The sequence below is a fragment of the Homo sapiens genome, chromosome 8, assembly GCF_000001405.40.
Source record: "Homo sapiens chromosome 8, GRCh38.p14 Primary Assembly".
In the NCBI taxonomy this organism is placed as follows: domain Eukaryota; kingdom Metazoa; phylum Chordata; class Mammalia; order Primates; family Hominidae; genus Homo; species Homo sapiens.
The window spans coordinates 131,798,249-131,820,911 of NC_000008.11; the positions used below are offsets into that span (position 1 = coordinate 131,798,249).

At 40.9% G+C, this 22,663-nt stretch overlaps 4 annotated features.

The window, feature by feature from the left end:
- Positions 13,123-13,643: an enhancer, noted in NCBI's record as "NANOG hESC enhancer chr8:132823618-132824138 (GRCh37/hg19 assembly coordinates)". NCBI's record gives its function as "activates a minimal SCP1, AML or CMV promoter by ChIP-STARR-seq in naive H9 embryonic stem cells {active_cell/tissue: H9 hESC(naive)}" and the evidence as "EXISTENCE:reporter gene assay evidence [ECO:0000049][PMID:30033119]".
- Positions 18,036-18,165: an enhancer, noted in NCBI's record as "active region_27989". NCBI's record gives its function as "activates an Ori minimal core promoter by ATAC-STARR-seq in GM12878 lymphoblastoid cells {active_cell/tissue: GM12878}" and the evidence as "EXISTENCE:reporter gene assay evidence [ECO:0000049][PMID:35858748]".
- Positions 18,296-18,445: an enhancer, noted in NCBI's record as "active region_27990". NCBI's record gives its function as "activates an Ori minimal core promoter by ATAC-STARR-seq in GM12878 lymphoblastoid cells {active_cell/tissue: GM12878}" and the evidence as "EXISTENCE:reporter gene assay evidence [ECO:0000049][PMID:35858748]".
- Positions 21,821-22,322: an enhancer, noted in NCBI's record as "NANOG hESC enhancer chr8:132832316-132832817 (GRCh37/hg19 assembly coordinates)". NCBI's record gives its function as "activates a minimal SCP1, AML or CMV promoter by ChIP-STARR-seq in primed H9 embryonic stem cells {active_cell/tissue: H9 hESC(primed)}" and the evidence as "EXISTENCE:reporter gene assay evidence [ECO:0000049][PMID:30033119]".

Consider the following 22,663-nt stretch of genomic DNA (forward strand, 5'->3'; position numbering starts at 1 on the left):
TCATGGTGGAAAGACAGAGGCAGAAGGAGATGGATGCTGGCACTGAGACAGCCAAACAACACAAGTAAGGAAGGAACAAAAGGTGACTTTAGGACCAACATACCCTCAACACCCCCTGCCAGCCATAAATGACATAGTGGTAACAGGAAGTGACAAGTGAGATTTTAATGGAAAGCTGAGATCGCCTTCAGGTAAATTAGCAAGATATGGTGGTGATGTTGATAATGATGATGACGGTGGTTATTGTAGCAGTGGTGGTTATGATGGTGATGGTGGTACTGATTGTAATAATGATGGTGACTGTGCCAGTAGTAGTAGCAATGATGGTGGTGGAGGTGGTGGTGGTGGTAATGGACTGACAGTCACCATTTATCAAATGCTTACTATGATTCAGCATTGTACTAGACGATTATTTTAATTAATCCTTGCAAGAATGCTATGAAATAGGTATTAGAAGCCCTATATTACAAATGAGACAACATACTAAGAAAGATTACGTAATTTGCTTAAGAGCACACAGATAGTAAGTGGGAAAGGAGAAATTTAAACCCAAGAGTGACCGACCTCAAAACCAGTGCTCTTAACCATTATGTTTAAACTCAACTTAAGCAGCCCCCAGAAGCCTATATTCCCTTTCTCTGTCTACTACAATGTGCTTCTAACTCATCCTGGGCATTACAAACAATTTAGCACTTGTGTTTTCCTAAGTTCACAGCAGTTTTCAACACATCATCTATCCATGTGGTTTCCAGTCTTGCAAATAAGATAACTCTTTTTTAAAATCAAAATCTTTTGCATCTGCCTATATGACTATACTTGTTTTTTTAAATATAAGTGACCAAGAAAATAAATGAAAAAGAGCTGTTCTAACAACACACAGTTTATTATACTATAAGTGAATAATTACAACAGCTTCTACTTGTCCTCAAAAGCAGTAAATTATGCACTTAAGTCAGAAACATTACTTATTTGGGCCATAATTGAGACTCCATGCATATGGGAATTGACTAACAACTCAGGGCTGGGAGGAATCCATCATGGGGCACCATCTCATAGTTCCTTGGGAAATTTTTATGAAGAATATAAAAGCAAATTGTCTTGAACATCAGAGAACACCAGTGGATGGATGCTTGACCAGCTCAGCAACATTCACAGACCTGGAAGCTTTTTCTTCTCCATTCTCACCCTTGGTGCTTTTTGGAGGGGCTCTAATATTCAGCAAATGTTTGGCTGACATGGCCAGGCATCAGGATTTTTATCCTAGCCTATTTATTGTTGGTGCATGACCACGGTCTAGACACTAACCCTCCCAGGAGCTCAGTTTCCTCACTTTAAAATGAGAACCTTGATCTAGACATCTATGGGCCTTTTCAAGGACAATGTCTGATGCTATTTATGTTTTCACATCCAGCGTATTTCCCCAACACTGCTTCTTTATAAGTTCCTGCTATTTGTCATCAGAAAATGACCAGTATGTTAAAGTGCAACCAAAAAAGAACTCAAAATAAGATTTTTCAAAATATAATGTTCTACCGGAGAACTTGTCAAAAATGCCACTGTCTTGGTGAATAAGTCAAACAGTTCATCATTTCTTTCCAAAAGCCAATTTGAGCATGAAAGAGCAATATATTCTTTTTAAATAGTAGTTTTAACTATTTTAAGTCCTGGCCTAATTTTCCTCTCCAACTGCAGGAAGACATCTTCAAATGGCATCAATGATGCAAATTTTGCTCCCCCACCCCCCGCCCCATCTCACCCCACGCTCTCTACTTCAGTCCTGTGTACAGAACCACCCTCTGGTGGATGAAATTCTTCCTTTCGCACAGAAGGCCAAACAGGGATCTACCCCATGGTAAAAATTCATAAGGTTTGCAGCTTTCCATTCTTCTTCATTAAAAACCCTCAGTCAAATAATCCAGATCCATTCTGCAATTCATCTTCAACACATGTCTATTCCGAGCTGGCAGAGCAATGCTGTACAAAGATGGTCCACAATGCATTAAGGACAGAAACTGAGAGTAAATATTTGGAAACATTGAAAGCAATTCAATATAGTCACAGTATCTGAGTGCATGATTGTTTTTCTAGTAATTCAGTTTTCATTGTATTGTACAAAAGTATTTGTCCACAAAAGATGGAAGCTTAACAACACCCAAGTCCTTCACTACAAGTAGTTTAAAAAGCACTGAGTAGATGATATGCATGCACAACTATAATATGATGGAAGAATTTTTGTAATGCTCAATCCAGTCACTCAGCATAAGCCTATTAGCCATTACAATGGAGGGTATGCAGGATGGTAAGGGCACTGACTCAGGAGTCAGACGGCATGAGTTCAAATCCTGGCTCTGACACTTACCAGGCAACCTTGAACGAGGTCTTTACCTGCTCTCAGGCTCAGTTTCTACATCTGTAAAATGAATACACTAATGAGAGTTATATAATTGCTGTGAAGATTAGATGAGATAAGATACACAAACTTGACCTGATGTCTGGTCTGTGGTAAGCACTCAGTGGCTGATGATAAGGAGGAGGAGCTGAGTGACTGAATAGATTGTAGTCCCTATTCTCTGGAGGCAGACAATGTATGCAAATAAATGCTCGTAGTAGGGAGAGAGCTGAGACAGCAGTAAGTGGGTGTATGGAGGTGGGACGGAGGAAAGAGAAGGGTGACTCTGCCTGGGGCATTCTGGGTGGGCTTTGTAGAAAACATGCCACCTGGTTAGGGATGGGAAAATTAAGTATAGTCTTCTAGGGAGACAACTGGGAAAAAAAATTCAAGCAGGGGGAAGAGCGTCTTCAAAGATACAGGAGTTGGATCATAATAGTGAGTTCTGAGATCCTCAGCAATTCAGCATGGCAGTATTATAAGGAAGGGGCAGAAAGAGTGGGTCTCTTTAGAAAAGGGATTGTAGTTCTTTCTTCTAGTCTTTCCATTACTCAACACAATCCTGGCAAGAGTACTTAATCAATGCCTACAAAATGAATGAGGCTGTATGTCATGTGCATGATACAGGAGGTTTAGACTCTATCTTGAGGTCAACAAGAAGCCATTAAACAGTGGAGAAGGAGTAAAAGAAATGACCCCTCTGCTCATTTGAAGTATGAATCAGGGGTGGGAGAAAGGGAGTCAGGGAACCCAACTGCACAAACTCTTTGAGATGGAGTTGTCCCTTTCTGGCTCCGATCTACAGGTGAGGAAATAAAGTTACAAAATTCAGTGACCTGCCCAGGGAAGGACTCATAGACTTCACAGGTGCCAGGTCTGCCTGACCCCAAATCCCATGTCCATCCTCACTTAGCCCACAAAGGCCATCAACTGTTCTAACTATTCCTAATGAAAATTATATTTGCACCTAATAGATTTAGATCTGGTGATTTAGTCTTCAATTCACTCTCAACAGAGGTAGCTAAAAATGCCAAAAAGGATAAAAGTGTGGTGATGCATTTTCAGTTACTAGAGTGTGTGTGTGCACGAGCACGTGTGTTTCTATGTTGCTTTGTGTTTGAACATTAGCTACATCCCCAACACACCCTGGCAAAGTGAATGGCACCTGGAGGCACACATTCCAGCATACATGCGGAGGAGACTTTGAAACTCAGAGACATGACTAAGGGCAGATGCATCTGAGCTGTTTGTTTCCCCTTGAGGATAGAAACTCCAGTGTTCCCAGAAGAAGCTGAGAAGAGGTGCAGATTTGGAAAAGGGTGAGAAGGAGACAGGTGAGGGCAAAATTCAGTGAAGAGAAAGTTGAGTAGGCGGTGACAAGGGTAATTACCAATATCTGGGGGCAACAGAAAATTGCTGAAATCTGGGGCCAATGGGGATTCTGGATTCTAAGCTCATCTCTGGTCCTAATTCACTGTGTGTGACCTTGGGGATGTGCCTTCACTTCTGTAAGATGCAGTGACCGTTCCAAGTGAATTAAGGAGACGGAATGAGACTCATGGTAAACTGATAAGCTGTCTGGTCATGACTATAAAATCAGTACAAGGATTTAAAGAAGGTAGAGATAATTTGGGGCAGAGGTTATCACTTCCTGGAGGTGGTGGCATTTGCAGGACTGAAAGGACTTTGCTATGCAGAATAGAGAAAGGATGTTCTACATGGAGATAACTGCATAAGGAAAGCCATGGAGAGTGAAGAAGTGTATGCAGAAGGCAGAGAAGATCTGAACCCTGTAGGAACAAAGGTGTGGGCTGGGAAAGATCCAAGAAAGAAAGGGATAGATGGGGTGGTACCAAATGACAGGCAACATCAAAAAGGGCAGACAGAGACATTTGGATTCAAAGAGAAGCAACACTCTTGTGAATGCGATGTGCATAAAGGAAATAGCGGAACCATTCTCCATAGTTGTGCAACAGAGGCCTAAATAGAATCCCTACAGAATCCCTGGGTTTCACTGACCACCCACTCTGCACAGTACTATAAGCTAGGCACCTGTTCCAGAACCTGCGCAACTTCTGGGCACCTGCTACTGCTACACTCATAGGGAAAATGCACCCTTAGTCCCACCCCTTTCCCACTCCTTTCACCTGGCTAATTCTCCTCCCTTCCTTCTTTGCTCTTAGATGTGGCTTATTTTCCTCCAGAAAGCTTTATCTGACTCCCAGGCTGGGTTTACTCACTCGATTATTTAATGTAGTTTCATTGTACCCCTTAGTACATGTACTTTTATTGTACAAGTACTTAGTACTATGTACTGTAATTGTACATATACTTAGTACTATATACTGTGTTCTTTGCTTTTTGTTTTTGAGACAGGGTCTCACCTGTCCCCCAGGCTGGAGCACAGTGGTGCAATCAGGATTCACTGTAGCCTCAACCTCCTGGGCTCAAGTGATCCTCCCACCTCAGTTTCCCAAGTAGCTGAAACTACAAGAGCATGCCATCATCCCCAGCTAATTTTTGTACTTTTTGCAGAGATGGTATTTTGCCATGTTGCCCAGGCTAGTCTTGGACTCCTGGGCTCAAACAGTCCACCCACCTCAGCTTCCCAAAGTGCTGGGATTACAGGTGTGAGCCACTACACCCGGCCAAGGGCCATATACTGTGTTGAGCACAAAAGAGCTGCCCTTCCTGGGGGCCCCGCAGCGCCACATGATCCCCTATATCATACCACTTATCACACTGTGATAAGTGGCAGATTGAATGGTCTGTCTCTTCCACTGGACTGTGAGCTCCTTGAGATCAGGGATTCTATTTTATTAAACTGTGCCTCTCTAGAACAGAGCTTGGCACATAGCATATGTTCATTAAATGTTAGCTGATGTGATTAATGAATGAAGGGCTGAATAAATAAATGGATAACAGATGAGCGTACAATCTACCTAAAGACAGACATGCACACTAATACTGGGAATGAGTGGAGCAGCAGAAGTGGGGGTAAAAGCGGAGGCACCATCTCCTCAGTCTCAAGAATCCAGATTTGAACACTTGTGGTGCTGTAGGGAGGGATCATTTTGACATCCTGTGTCTCAGTGCTCAGACTGTGATGTGGAAAAAAGGTCAGAAGTTCTTAGCTGAATATGGAGGAGGAGGGATTATGTTTGTAACTATGAACCTTAAAAATCAAACAACACAATGTAACAGAAAAGTGCAGTACTTTATGGTTGAGGAAGACTGAATTAGTCTCAAGTTTTTATTCTACCATTTATTACTCTTGAAAAATTGCATTATCCCTCCAAGGCTCAATTTCCTCATTTGCAAAAGGAGGACAACGATAGAACCCAACAAAGAAGCTTAGTGGAAAGATGAAATGAAATCGTGTATGAGAGGGGCTCGGGCTGGTGCCAGGCTCATAGTAAGTCCTCAGTCGATGGTGGCTTCAATGGTAATGAGGAAAATCAAGATGGCAGGAGGAGGGACTAGGAAAAGATGGAGGGAGAGGGGCAGGGTTGGAGGTGGAGGGGGACTGCAGAGTTGGGAGGACTGAATAAGATTTTGTATACTGAAGTGCCTTGCACACGCCTGGCACATACAAGCATCTCAACACCTGCTAGTCATCTTTCCCCTTCTTCATCCTTCCATAGGTTACGATTCTTCACTTCTGAGACTGAGGTCCCCAGAGCAGAAAAGAAACAAATTTGTCAAAGGGTTTGTCAACCTCACAAATTCTGAGACAGAGGCAAGGGCGCCACCTACTGTACAGCAGAGGCATTTTCCCAGCTCCTCAAAGGGTCATCTCTAAACAAGCCTTGCCTCTTTTATCAAACTGGCCTGACTTACCTGTCTTTATCTGTGGGGCAGCAGAAGGAACAACAGACTCAAGAGCAGGGGTGGAGTCAGTTGAGGATGGGAAGGTGCCAAACAAAACATCACCTTGGGAATATTCTGCCGTTTCCCTCTCTCACTCCCTCTTCTCTATCCCTAAAACATAAGTGAAGCTGACAATTGTCGCATAAATTTGGTTATCTCAGCAGAATCCCACTTTTCAGATCAATGCATACAAGAAGAGGGCTAGGGAAAGGACAGAAGCCATACCCAATGGCGTGCCTGAGCTAGGTGTCCAGTTTCATGTTTGTTTACTAACCCACAGTCACGGTAATCCACCAACGCTCTCTGGCGTTGGGGGGATTCCTGCACTGTTCTCCCAGGAATGCACTGCCTCACTCCCTCACTGTTTTCCCCTATCTTTTCCTGTTGGCAGCCTACTCATCTCTGCAGCTCTCACTGGCTTCCCCTTGCTGTTATGACAGTGCTCAATGTCTTTTGTTTTGTTTTGTTTTGTTTTGTTTTGTTTTGTTTTGTTTTTGAGACGGAGTCTAGCTCTGTCGCCCAGGCTGGATTGCAATGGCATGATCTCGGCTCACCGCAACCTCCACCTCCTGGGTTCAAGCGATTCTCCTGCCTCAGCCTCCTGAGTAGCTGGGATTACAGGAGTAACTCATGCCACCATACCCGGCTATTTTTTGTATTTTTAGTAGAGACGGGGTTTCACCATGTTGGCCAGACTGGTCTCAAACTCTTGGCCTCAAGCGATCTGCCCACCTCGGCCACCCAAAGTGCTTGGATTACAGGAGTGGGCCACACACTCAGCCTCAATGTCTTAATATGACCCACAGGGCCTAGGAGAACTTTGCACTTGATGCTGCCCAAGGCCCCCATCCTCACTCATTTGTTGACTCAGTCTCACTAATTTTGGGGGGTTCTTTGTAGATGTCACATCTTCTGAAAAGCCTTCCTTATGGGCCACCCTGCCCCCAGCTGACAGGGTGAGGTGTACTGTCCCTACTCTGCTTCCAGCATCACTCTGTTCTGGAATTATTTATGCATATTTACCTTCCATTAGACTGTGAGTTGTGTGTCATGGGGACTCTGTATCATTCATTCTTTGTCACAGAGCACAGAAGCCCTTCAATTAATATTTGTTGAAATAATAGGAAGAGTAATCAATAATTAAATGTTCAGCAAATCAATGAGTGAGTGGAATGCCTGCACTAATCATGTTTCTGCCACTTACTAATGCACAACTTTGGCCAGTGCTATATCTTTCTATCTCTTGCCTTCGTTTCTCACCTGTGAAATTAAAGTACAGTTGATCCTTGAACAATACAGGCTGAATCGCACAAGTCCACTTATACACAGAGATTTTTTTCAATAAAAGTTACAGCAAGCGTGCCTGCCTGTCCTGCTTCCCCTTCTGTCTACTCTACCTCCTTTACCTCTGCCACTCCTGAGACAGCAGGATGAACCCCTTCTCTTTCTCCTCCCCCTCAGCCCACTTCATGTGAAGATGATGAGGATGAAGACCTTTATTATGATCCACTTCCACTTAAGGAATAGGAAACAGATTTTCTCTTCCTTATGATTTTCTTAATAACATTGTCTTTTCTCTAGCTTACTCTATTGTAAGAACGCAATATACAATACATATAACATATAAAATGTGTGTTAAACAACTTTATGTTAGTGGTGAGGCTTCCAGTCAACAGTAGGCTTGTAGAAGTTAAGTTTGGGGACAGTAAAAATTTATATACAAATTTTCGACTGTGGGGAGGGTCAGCACTCCTAACTCCTGCATTGTTCTAGGGTCAATTGTAATGACAGATACTCCAAAGGATATAGCAGTGAAATATATCCTTTATAGAAGTAAAGTTCCTGCCCTTAAGAGCTCATAGTCTAGAGTGATGGGGAGGGACAGAAAATTAACAAGCATTTACAATACAGGATAAATTTGAAAGCACAGAGTAGGAGCTTCCAGACCATTCTAGAATAAGGGATATGACAAATAAATATATGGAATGACAAACAGTGAATAAATGTAGGGCAAGAAAGCAAAGCAGGGCAAAAGGCATGGGGAGTTTCATGTTGGAGAGGTTGGTTATGTCACATAAGATGGTCAGAAATAGTCTCTCATAAGGAAATGAGAATGCAATACTGCAATTAGTTGAGGAAAAGGAATCCAAGGCAGAAAGGACAGCAAGTGCAAAGTATGAAGCCAGCCCAGGTGAGGGTGTCTGAGGGAAACCCTTGTATTTTTATGCTTTTTCTCTTGCATTCACTTCCCCAGGGGAGGACCCCAGAAGCTCCTACCAAATGTACCCACTGCATCTGAAAGCAGCTTCTGCCTTCAGTATCTGAGGTCTTCCTACATGCCAGCTGAACTAAAAATCAGTTACCTGCAGGTCTTCTTTGCCTATTCTCATTTGACCTAGGAGCCTGGGCAGCAAGTTTCCCGCCTCTTCCCTTCTGGTCTTCGTGATCTTCATCACTGAAAATCCCTTAAGGTAATGATCTTCTAAGGACAGTGATCCCAAGGCAATGGGAGCCAATGGTGGAGACACATTATCAAATCTCCATTTTATAAAAATAAAACATATCAATTTGTCTGCAGTATGAACCACACATTGGAGAGAGCAAGATAGCTCTCTTCTAACTGGAAAACCAGTTAGAAGGCTGTTGCATCAGTCCAGTGAGCGATGATGGTGACCTAAATCTAAGTAACAGCAGTAAGGATAAAAGGTACTAGGATGGTAGAACTGATGGGGCTTGGCAACTGATTAAATGTGGGCCCACGTGGAAACGGGAGGGCTCCAGGGTGACTTCTGGCTGTTACTTTGGCAACCAGAGTTTGGGAGTGCCATGCACTGAGATAAAGAGAAGCAGAAGCAGGGTAGAGAAAGATGATGTTCTTAACCACATCCCGGACTATCTTAGGATTTGTTAAAGAGCAATCAACAAGGATATCACAGAATCCATATGTATGTAGTTGAACAGATGAAACTTACAAGTGTAAATAATTAGGGGATATTTTGAAGCAGGACATAATTAGTTGCAAAAATATATGCTTGGGACTACCAACCGGTGCAAAGGATGCAGGAAGGCTTGAGGTCATGGGGCAGTCATAAGGAAAGCACATGAGACCATGATTTGAGTTTTGAAGATTTAAATGAGTAGAGAGAAATAAGTGATGAGGAAATGGTGACCAGGCTCGTTACCTAAACAAAGCCACAGCTGCAAGAGTGAGGGAGCTGTGTTTGAGAAGCAGTGACTCAAAGAAATATATAAAAATTCTCCATAGCTATATCTGAAGTATAGCTATAGTCCAGGATGCACTGAAATTAATGAAGAGATCATAATACTGGTGAACAAATATTCTGGGAATATAAGTTGTACAAGGTGGGCACTGGTAGATCTCCTGTGGGGTTTAGTTGAAGGGCATGAGTTGTGAAGTTAGATATGATTCTGTTCACATCCTGGAATCATTGCTAATGAACTTTATGGTTTGGGCAAGTGAACTCATCTTTGCAAGTCTTAAGTCTCCTGTGTGAAAATGAGAACAGTAATACTTTGCTATACTCTAACGAATAAATGAGATGGTGTGGAGTACACACTCAACATATATTCATTCCTTTCTGCCACTCATTTTGAGTCCCGGCTCATCATGAGATATCTGAACAGGGTCCCCTGATATGCTGTATGGAATTGATCTCAGCATCAGTTGACACCAAAGAAGTTTAAGCTCATGGTCACATAAAGAAACCACTATAAACTAATTTGCTTATAGGGCGAGTTGTAACCGTAAGCCTGAACGTACTGAATATGCTCAATAAATTGCAAATAACTTACAGACATCAATGCCATGTGAATGTGGTATCAACTGGCTGCTGGTCTGCCCTCATGGGTTGATCAACCTATCTCCTTAGCCAGTAGGAGCAGGGCACAGCTGGGTCCATGTTCCCATTCATTTCTGCTGCTGCCCTGGCCCTCTTTCCCTGCTTCCATGTCCGGGCATCAGTGCTGAATTTAGCTCCCTCAGATTTAGTCCTGAAAGTTACAAGCTTTGTGCAATTGGAAGACTAAATGCTATTCTGTTGCTTTTGCTCATAAACTGCAATTTGAGTGAAATAGCTTGTTTTTCATTAATATATATATTTCTTTTTCTCGTTTTCTAAAAATTGCTTAATATATTTAATTATTCCCTTTATTTCCATACCTACTCATATTCCTCAGACCACCTTCCCAATGGGCAACTATTCTAAAATTCTTAAAGCACAGGCCGGGCACGGTGGCTCACATCTGTACTCCCAGCACTTTGGGAGGTGGAGGCAGGTGAATCACCCCAAGTTGGGAGTTCAAGACCAGCCTGGCCAACATGGTGAAACCCTGTCTTTACTACAAACACAAAAAGTAGCCAGGCATGGTGGCGCACGCCTGTAGTCCCAGCCAGTCGGGAGGCTCAGGCACAAGAATTGCTTGAGCCCAGGAAGTAGAGGCTACAATGAGCCAGGATCATGCCACTGCACTCTGGCCAGGGTGACAGAGTGAGACTTCATCTGAAAAATGAAATAAAATTCTTAAAACACATCATTTTGCATATATGTGTTTCATGAATGGATTAAATGATAATATACTTAGTCAATTTTTTTGTTGTTGTTTTTCTTCCTCCACCTCCTTGACTTCCTTTCCTGGGCTGTGAACATCTCCAGGATGGGTACCTGCCTGCTTAGTCTCTCCAGAGCCTAAGTCTCTCCAGAGTTTAGAACAGTCTCCATATAGTGATTCTCAAAAAAAACAACAAATGCATATGGGTCCAGGTTGAACCAAATTCTAAATGTTCCAGAGAACTAAAGGTTACACACATGAAATGTTTATAATGCAATTCAAAATATTTCATTATGCTTGCTGACACAATTTGTGGATGCAGTAGCTGAGCTCCCTACAAACTGTTAAGAACCAATCAGGTCTCTGAGAGAGAATTTGAGGAGTAAAACAGAGGGCTTCAGTTCAGTGCACTGATTGTGATTCTTATTACAAATGGTACCACTTAATTCTCTTGTTCCAGACTTTGCTCCACATTGAGATAACCATGGTTTTACAGAAAGAATCCTGGAGTCCCAAGACCCATGATTAAATCCCCCTTATAAGCTCTTATCATTTCAGGTTATTTATTTATTTATTTTACTTTTTAAGGTGGCCAGACTTTAAACACAGGGAATAAGCAGCATTTGATATATATAAATATAAGAATTTGCATGGGACACAACTGGGACTTTGAAGTAAAACATTATCAGGGATGGAAACAGCTCTAGAGATCAACTACTTTTTTACACTCTCTCTCGAGGGCCACACTGTGAAGTAGTATGCAGGGAGGGGAAGATGTTTATGGACCTGATATTCTGCCAGTGAAAACATACAAGCTGTTAAATATTGAAAAACTCTCAAACTAGTTGATAAATAAGTTCCATCCCACCTCAGGTTCTTAGCCCCAACTGCTCTATCTTTCTGCTGGGGTCTTCATTGACTTTCAGATTTTCCTACATAACAGCTGGAGTAATGTCAGGTGGCGCAGGTACTGAGGTCCTGCTCAGGTACCAGTCCTCCCATTTAGGAGCTCTGTTCTAGTTCATCATACCCTTGCTAAGCTGGCTGTTGGCTACTTTAGACAGGCTTGTGTGTGTGTATGCATATGTGACTATGTCTGTGTGTATCTCCGTGCCTCTCTTTCTCTGCTTCTTTCTGCACAAGGATTCCATTCTCCTCTCTCTGACATAAGGCTTCACGTGCCTATCCCTGGTTTCTCTTCCCTTATCACCTAAGCCTGCACAGAACTAACATGACCTCACTGCCCCTTCTTCATATCCTCACCCATACGTCTCAGCTTCTGTTTCTAGCTTCCAGTTTCAAATTCCTGGTGGCAGGAACGACATTGACCCAGTTAACTTTTCTATTCAAAGTCACATCACTGAGTCCTAGCTACCTTGATCTGACCTCCAAGAAAGCAGGGTGGGGGAAGACGATGGTTCAGCTTCCCTTGGAAGGGTTTGAGTATGGAATTGATCTCCACGGAACAAATAGTTTCTGTAGAAAGTAATTCTGAACTCGTTTGTAAAAATTCTTTTGAAAGAGCCTGGAACATAGTGGAGATTCAATAAATCCCTTCCAAAGCTGACTCTGTGAGAAGCTAGAAGTCAGTTCAAGATCAGTTCCATCACCTATCACCTGGGATGTTAAACTTGGTGAGCTCTCTGAGCTTCTGTATTTCACAATGCAAAGTGAAGATGAGTAGCATTTCTACTTTATGAGACTATTGTGAGATTGAAATAAGAAGTTCCCTGTGTGTGATAGTAAAGATTAAGAGCTTTGGGGTCTATGAAACTTCTTCTACTCATTAGCCAGAGGATTGGAGGCAAATCATTTAACACTGTATATCAAACAATTCCCGATAATTGGAGTTGAGGTTTTTGGAAAATTGAAGCAACTCACATAGTCTAAGGCAATCTCCTGTCCAGGTTGGAAAGGGAACTTTGGCTGGTGAAGCCTGTGAAACTTTCTTTCTAGGGCAATACCACGGGACATTTGTTCCACTCCAGTTTCACATTTCTACAAGGAAGCATCCGACTGGCTCAGCTTTGATTACTGTATGCAATAGACTGAATGTTTATGTCCCCACCCCAAATTCATCTGCTGAAATCGAATCCCCATTGTAATGGTATTTGGACACAGGGCCTTTGGGAGGTGACTGGGTCATGACGGTAGAGTCCTCATCAACAGCATTAGTGCCCTGATAAAAGAGTTCCCAGAGAATGCCTTTGCTCCTTCTACCATGTGAGGACACAGAAAAAAAAAAAAAAAAAAAAAAAAAAAAAACAGTTGCCTATAAATCAGGAATCAGGCCCTCACCAGATAACCCAAATCTGCCTGCACCTTGATCTTGGACTTCCAGCCTTCAAGACTGCAAGGAACAAATCTCTGTTGTTTGTAAGCCACCCAGTCTATAGTATTCTGTTCTAGCACTCCAAATGGATTAAGGCACTCTCTTTCCCTAAACGGGTCAGCCTTGGCTCAAGGACAGTTGGGTTGGGATGAGAAGAGTAAAAGGAACCTCCCCGCATGACAACGAGGGCAATCACTATGGGTGAAGAATGAATGACAGAAAGCACTTAGCTCACTGTCAGACACATAATAGGGCCTCAGTGCAGCGTTGCTGTGTGATAGCGTTTTGCAAAGTGTGAGATCCTTATTCTCCTACATGACTATCAGGTTGCTGACATTGTACTACATTCCAGAGGGCAGAGAGAAGTATAAGAAATGGCCCTGCCTTCTAGAATCTTACAGTCTAGATGAGAAAAATAACAATGCATACTTATAGGCTTGATTTTATAATACAGATTATAAGCACAAAAGGACAAAGCGGAGCACCTTAACAGAGGGAGGGGTGAGAGCAAATGAAAAAAAAAATTCCAAGAGACAAATAGAAGTGTTGTAAGAAAAATAATTTGGAAAAAATTGATTTTGAGGCTAGACTAGAAAGTAATTTTCTATTCCATTTCCTGGGCAGTCTCATACCCATAACAAAAACAGACTTATTTATAACACCATTGATTGTCTTGTATATAGAGTTAAGAATATAAAATAGGAGGGGGGCACATTCCATTTTGACAGATGCAGAAATAATAAGAAAAACGCAGTCATCATTCCTCCACTGCTCCCTCTGGATCTTTTCTGTTTTCTCTGACTCCCTGCCTTGCCAAGCAATTTAGTTTTATCCCTACGAATGAAGCAATTTACATGATTTGAGTTTGGCTTTGTTTGTGTATTACTGAGAAATGTCCTATACCTCCACCATCAATTACCTTGAACAATATCGTAAGGATTTATTAAAAAATAGATTTAAGCAAAACATATCTTTCACACACAGAGAGAATCAGACTATAGCATTAGAAGATAAATTAACATTTCCACTAATCTAATCCAGGCTGTCTGTGAAACATTTCTTAATAAGATAGACGAAAGGGCTGCATTCTGCTTATGCGCCAGCCTGTGGATTTTCACTGGGGCTCTGCCTCGCACCTCCACTTTATGTTCTTTCTCACACAGGCATTTCAATATTGCCGCATTCAGATTTCCTGCAGTGAGAGGCGATTTCATAATGAACGGTCCTGCCGCGCAGCAAGGCCAAGGATAGTTTGGACATGACACCTTCAAAGGAAATCTCTGTTCTAGAGCTTAGAGACTGGAGGGTGTGTGTGTGTGTGTGTGTGTGTGTGTGTGTGTGTGTGTGTGAGATGCTGAGGCTTCCTTCAAAGAGCTAGCTGGTCCAGGAAGGAAGAATAATTCTGATCTTATCTCTTCCTTATTCCACAAGAAAGTAAAAATACCCAACATTTTTCATGCTGTGTTCTGGGATTTTTATACCTATTAATACTCATTAAAGCTTCAAAATAACTGAGTAAGGCCCATAGGATTATTATCACCATTTTATAGATGAGGAAACTAAGGCACAGAGAGGTTAAGAAAGCTGGCCAGATGGACGAACTGGTGGTACACTCTGGAGGCAGGTTTTGAACAGAGGTAATTTGACCCTAGAGCTTATACTCCTTTTCACTGTTTACTAGATTTATGAGTTACATGTGCATGGTTGCTACATGGCTATATTGCATAATGGTGAGGTTTGGTCTTCTAGTGTACCCACCATCTGAATAGTGAGCATTGTACCCAAGCTCAGTATACAGAAATAATAATATTACAGTATACAGAAATATTATAATGTACAGAAATAATATTCTATATATTCTTTTTTCCCAACCTTCCCCCTTTTGGAGTTCCCAGTGACTACTATTTCCCTCTGTAGGCCCACGTGTACACATTGCTCAGCTCTCACTTATAAGTGGAAACATGTAGCATTTGATTTTCTGTTTCTGAGTTATTTCTCTTGGGATAATGGCCTCCGGTTCCACCCATGATGCTGCAAAATGATTTTATTCTTTTTTATGGCTGTATAGTATTCCACAGAGTTTATGCTCTTAATCCTTAATCATACTACCAGAAGACATTTTGAGGACCCTCCTACACATACACCAGCACCCAGAATATGATCCTGAAAAAAAAAACAATTTAAAATGTAGTCACTAATTGAAATAGTCAATTTCAGATCCTTGGCTCCAGACAAAATGGCTACACAGATCAACTTGATCTGGAAACATAACTCTGGTCTTTTATTTCCCCCTCTGCCCCACTTACTGTCAATTATTTTCCATTCCCATTCTCACCAATGAATACTACTATGCTGTACAGATAGGAGAGCTGCCATCCCCCTGCACTCTGCAGAAGTTACCCCATTTAGGGTATAATGGCCTGTTGTGGGTGCCATGGTTATTGTTATTATTATATAGTTATGAAGTGCTCATTATATTCTAGTACTCATATTCTAAGCACTTCATATGCATTATATTATTTAAACCACATCCCAACTCCATATGGGTTACTGCTGCTATCCCCATATTTTCAGAGTTTGAGAATGAAATGAGATTTTGCATTTAAAGCCCATTGCTTATTTCACTTAGCATAATGTCCTCTAGGTTCACCCATGTTGTCACAAGTCATAAGATTTCCTTCTTTTTGAAGGCTGTATAGTGTTTCATTGTGTTTTTATATCACATTTTCTTTATCAGTTGATCACTTGATGGACACTTATGTTGCTTCCCTATCTTGCCTGTTGTGAATAATGCTACAGTGTACATGGGACTATGGCTACCTCAATTATTATTTGTCAGTTAAAAATAACATATTTTTAAGCTCATTGATCAGTAACTAGTTCATAGAAAGCACCCAAAAATGTCAGCTGTTGTCATTACCATCATCTTTATCTGTTATTATTATTGTACTTTTTACTATTGCTTTAACACAGCTCATAGGGAATGTAGCACAGATTAGAACTTGGATCTGTGCGCCTCCAAAGCCTATCCCTTCGTCATCCCCATAAAGCCTCTGTGTAGAAATCGGCAACCAAAATGGTGAAAGAGCTATGAGCCAGCATATCTGGAGTGGTTAACAGACAGGATGTGTTCAGTGGGGTGTAGCTAAGACCCAGGGAAGTGGAAATAATATTCTGTATATTTTTTGCCACTGAAGGGCCTATGTGGGACCAACAGTCAAGACTTCAGAAAGGCAATGTTTAACTCTACTTGTGGAGCATTGTCACAATCTTTCCTTACTAACAATGAAATAGGATTTTCTGCATGGTAGCTGGTATTTTTATCCCTAGGAATACTAACTTAGAAGATATACAACTATCCGTCAGAGACCATGAAAAGAATTTCTTGAGGTAGTGTCATGAGTTAACTTCAACCACCCCCTACAAATGAAATTCTATGATTCATACAGAAGTCTGGCAGCCTAGGAAATTTCCCTTCCTTGTCCCAACGCAGACACAAGTTGCAAACCTTCTCCTTTGTTTACCTTCTATTCCATCCCTTTCAAATTTCAGGACCTCAAAACTTATCTGATAAAATAATGGTCTTAATGTATCTCATTTTCAGTGAATCAATATCTTACTCCTTCTAGTGAATTTGTTTTAAAACAACCAAAAATATTAATTACATAAATAAAATATGTATATTAAGGAAAATTAGAAAATATTTTTAAAAGACAATTATGAAACAAAATTACAAAATCTAAGAAAAAGAAAGAAGATAACTTATCTATAATCTCTATCAATATGTTGATACATATTTTCCCAACCCCTTTTTAACTTTTTGCAATTTGAAAGATGAATTCTGAAAACACAGATATGGCTCTAAATATAGAAATGTTCTGTAGAGTGGAAATTATACATATTTTCATTGCAGTAGACCAAATATTGAGCACTTAACTATATGCTAAACATTGTGTAAGTTACTAACAATACACAATCAAATAAGCCAGGATTCCTTCTTTCAAGACTCTCAAAGTCTAGGGCAGGAAACAGCACATAAATAAACATTAATAAAAGTATGCGTATAATAAGAGGTTCTGTAACAATAAGCATATATAGGTTTATTCGTGCTCCTAAAAATAATAATGGCCATAATCACAGTAACTAACAGTGATCAAAATTTTACATTTACTTTAGCTAGTTTTCACCTTAAGACAACCTTGGGAGTTGACACGCATTTTTATCTTAATTTCCATTTTAAGGTAAACAGAGAAATATAATGGAAAATCTGTGGGCTTCAGAACCAAGGAGATTTACATTCAACTCTAGATTCTGGTTCTGACTGGCCACATAGCCCTAAACTGTCACTTAATATATTCAACTACCTCTCACGGTTGCTTTCAGGTTTAGAATTGACATCTGTAATGTGCCTGACACGTGGCAGGTAGTCCCGAAAATGCAGCTTTTATTACTGAACAAAGCTCAGAATAAGTCAGTGATTTGTCCAAGTTCACACAAGTAGTGAACAGAGTAGGAACTCTAAAACAAAGTGTCTGATTCTAATCCTGTCTTCCTCCGCAGCACCACTTATAGCACTTAGGCAATCATCTATTGTAGGCAATGGGACGGTTCGAAAATAGAGCAGGTGCTACATAAATATCTCCACGTATCTATATATATACATTTTACATATTTTTCTCAGTTCTCTTTTCTTCTTAAGTGACCAGAAAAAAGAAAAGGTCAAATAAAAGTTGGTTTTTTTTTCCATTGAAAATCTGCTGCCCAAATTCCCAGTTCACAGTCCCCAACATCAATAGTACAGGCTGCAATTAAAAGAGGAAATGAGAGGGACTCATTATGCCTATGGAGAAATCCATCCTATAACTGCAAAACCTGCAAAGTAACTCTGTTCATAGGATATGGGCCATTTACCTTCTAGGCTATGACTCCACTGTCCTGTGGACTGGGCTGAAAAGCCCACCCGAGACCTCTCAAGATACCTGTTTAGTTTCCATTTTAATTTAATGGGTAATGAGTTCCCTTTATGGAAGATACTCACTTTCCTTAGCTCTCTGTAATAATGAAACAGGGCTGCTAAAGAAAACACAGAGCGGTGGTGAAGAGAAAACCCCAGTCAACCAGGCCACTGCCTGCTGACCATGAGTCAGCAGGTAGCACTGTTATGCAACATGAATGCTGAAATGAGCCGCACGATCTGAGAACAACCACAGAAGCTGGAGTTGCAAGAAACCTTAGAGCATTCTTTTTCAAAACAGATTTTTTAACTCATTCCACAATCAGAAGTACATTTTACAATTACAAGCTAACACACATGTATAAATACATAAACAAAAAACTTTCATAAAACAATTGTTATCCTTACCACAGGGGATGCAGTCCAATATTGCCTATTCTGATCCATTCTCTTCTTTACTACTTGACAGTAAGTTAATTTCTCAACATGCTATTAATCACCACATGTGGTTTGGTTGAAAAAAAAAAAGCTGCTTTGAAGAATATCTCATTCAATCCTCTATGCAATGTCCATGCAAGTTCTGATTCATGCCAGCATGGGGTACTCTTTAAGAATGTCAAAATCATTCAAGACATATGAGTTTACAGAAAATGATGAAAGAATAATAATCTTCACCTACCATTGTGAACACTTCCTAGGAACTAGGCTCCATGCTGGGGCTCCAAATCTATATACTATTTTATCGTTACAGCAAGCCATTTAGATGGTTCTGTTATCACCCCTGTTTTACAGATGAGGAAATTGAGGCCTCCACTGAAGGCTAGCTATTTCTTACAAAGGGTCACTTGGAGCTCAGTTATTTGCAGTTAATCCATTAATCATCATCTAGTCCATTTAATCATCTAATCCATTTGGTACTCTGTCATCGGCAGGAGAGATGATACTAGCGACTAAAGCTTTTGTTACATTTGCTTTTCCTCTTGGATGTCACTTGACCCTGGCACTTGAGCCCTTTTTGATCTTGCCCTACTTTCTGTAATAGGAAGTTCACTGGTGTGTACAGCCACAGTTAGCCCTGGAATGACAACATGGAACTCAACAAATCATCCCTGGAATTCTATCTGTATGCATTTCTTCTCTCTATCTTCAGCCTGTTCACTTTCATTATGAGGGCAAAAGGCTACAACAGTTCCAGGCATCACAGTCTCACTTGACTGCAGCCAAAGCGGAGAGAAAAGGGAGGAAAAGTGCTTTCTCCTATTTTTATTTTTGGTCGTTGTTGTTGGGTTTTGTTTTTGTTTTTGTTTTTTGTTTTAAGTTTTTGAGACAGAGTCTTGCTGTATCGCCCAGGCTGAAGTGCAGTGGTGCAATCTCGGCTCACTGCAACCTCCGCCTCCCGGGTTCAAGTGATTCTCCCTCCTCAACCTCCCGAGTAGCTGGGATTATAGGCACCTGCCATCAGGGAGGCTAATTTTTGTAGAGATGGGGTTTCACCATGTTGGCCAGGCTAGTCTTCAACTCCTGACCTCAGGTGATCCACCTGCCTCAGCCTCCCAAAGTGCTGGGATTACAGGCATGAGCCACCTTACCTGACTCTCCTATTTTTGGATTGGAAAACTTTTTTTTAAAGACCTCAAAATTCTTCCATTGGCCATATCCCAATCACTAGCTCACCTCAGACCAATCACTGATACATCTGCTGCCTTCCCTAAGGTGGGCATTTTGCCAGGTGTACAAAATCATGATTTTGTTATTGAGAAAGGGGGTTGTGACTGTTGGGTAGGCAACTAACGCTACGTGCTCCATTGGCCTTTTAGAATCTGCATCATGTTCACCTTCCCAACCATATCTCTCCCCACTTTCTCCCAACATTGAACTCCCACGCAAACTTTACTGACCTTTTTTTCTGTAGTTCTTTCAGTGTACAATGACTTACTAATCTTAGGACTTTTACTCTTGTCCTTTCCTTTGCCTGAAACATTCCTTACCCGACTTCCATCTTCTTCTACTTGTTAATTCCTATGCTTGCTTAAGGTCTTGAATTAAATGTACTCTCCTTCAGTAAACCATGTCTGAGTAAGGTCTGGGTTAGGTCCCTCTCATACCTACTCTCTACTTGGCTGAAATGAAATTTAGAGGCCATGTCTGTCATTACCTTTCTTGTACCCTCAGTCCCTATTAAGGTACCTTCAATGGTCTTTTGCTAAATATTTATTGAGTAAATGAGTAAAAGCTGCAGTTATTCAGTTGAAAGGGCATTGTATTTTAATATCATCTATTTTGAGTACACATCAGAGACATTATCAACTTTTTATAAACCACATAACAAAATTGCAGACTGTGTTCATCCCAATTTTACTCAATAGGAAATGAGACTCAAAGGGATCATGTTCAAGGCCACACAGCTTGTGGATGACAGAGACAAGATTCAAAACCTTGTCTGATTCTAGAGCCCAGGGATTTTCTGCTCCACCATGCTGCTGTCCAGTAAGAGACACATCAACTCAAAGTCCTCCACCAGCCCTAGTTTTTGATATGACCTAGACAAACATTTTCTGTAAAGGGACAGATAGTGAATATTTTAGGCTTTGAAGGACATATAGTTTCTGTTGCAACTAATCTACTCTGTTGTACTTTGAAAGCAGCCATGGATAATATGTAAACAAATGAGCTTTGTTGTATTCCAATAAAACTTTATTTGCAAAAACAAGTGACAAGCCAAATTTGGCTCATAGGCCATAGTTTGCAAACCCTCTAACCTAGAGCAATTCAATTCCCCAATGTTAGCTTTGTATTTTTCATCCATAAACTGGGTAGTTTGGATTTGATGCCTACTAAGGTGACTTTGTACTCTGAAACTCAAGTATTAATTACTGTTCTGAAGTCCCCCAAAATCCTGTTATGTTTATTGTATCAGTGATAAGAAAGGTACAATGTAAGTGTTATTCAATAAAAACATTAACATAAATGTGTGTTCAGAAAAAAAACTATTAAAAAGAAACACACAATGCATACAGTGAAAAATGTAGCCAATATAAACTAAAGCACAAAAAAGGAAAAACCTTAGCCACGTATTATCATACGAGAGTTTTTTGCTTTATCATTTCTACTATATAAAATAATCTAACACTTCTTTAAAACTAGGCTTTTAATTTTAGCTTGTGCTATCACTTAAAATGTAGGTGCCCTCATTCCCCTTCAAACATTTTAAATATTGATTCTTGCTTTTAGAAGGTTATAATTAACACATATGGAAATATAGACTTACCCATTATAAACCTTTAGAGATCCATAAATAAATATTTACTCTTATAGCATACAGTTGTTGTAAGCATTGAATAAGATTGTGTACCTGGCAAAAACCTGACCAAATGGAGGTGTTTCATCCATTTTAATTGTTGTTGTGGTTATCAGTTTTACTGACTTCTGTTTAATGTTGATGTCAGAAGCAATGTTTTATACATTAGATCTGTGATCCTCAACTGGGGGCAATTTTGACCCCCAGGAGATATTCAGTGATGTCAAAGATATTTTTGGTTGAGACGACTAGGTGCTGCTTCTAGCACCCAGTAAGTAGAGACCAGAGATGCTGCCAAACACCCTTCAATTCACAGACTAGCTCCTCACAGCAAAGAGTTATCCAGCCTAAATGTCAATAGTGTTAAGGTAGAGACACACTGCATCAGACCCAATAACCCCTATTCCTCGCATGGTTCCAAACAGAACACAAAGTATTGTCAATAAATGTTTGTGATTGAATAAATGAATAAGTGGATGAACAAAAGTAGTTACTGTTAGGCCTCTGAGCCCAAGCTAAGCCATCATATCTCCTGTGACCTGCACATACACATCCAGATGGCCAGTTCCTGCCTTAACTGATGACATTCCACCACAAAAGAAATGAAAATGGCCTGTTCCTGCCTTAACTTATGACATTATCTTGTGAAATTCCTTCTCCTGGCTCATCCTGGCTCAAAAGCTCCCCTGCTGAGCACCTTGTGACCCAACACCTGCCCACCAGAGAACAACTCCCTTTGACTGTAATTTTCCTTTACACTATGGGCAAGCTTCCGACCTCCATTCCCCCTTCTTCTCCCTTAGCTTGTGTTCTTAAAAACATAAAACCTCTTCAACTCACACCTGACCTAAAACCTAAATGCCTTATTTTCTTCTACAATGCCGCTTGACCCCAATACAAACTCGACAGTAGTTCCAAATAGCCAGAAAATGGCATTTTCAATTTTTCCATCCTACAAGATCTAAATAATTCTTGTCGTAAAATGGGCAAGTGGTCTGAGGTGCCTGACATCCAGGCATTCTTTTACACATTGGTCCCTCCCTAGTCTCTGTTCCCAATGCAACTAGTCCCAAATCTTCCATCTTTCCCTCCCGCCTGTCCCCTCAGTCCCAACCCCAAGCGTCGCTGAGTCTTTCTAATCTTCCTTTTCTACAGACCCATCTGACCTCTCCCCTCCTTGCCAGGCTGAGCTAGGTCCCGATTCTTCCTCAGCCTCTGCTCCTCCACCCTATAGTCCTTTTATCACCTCCC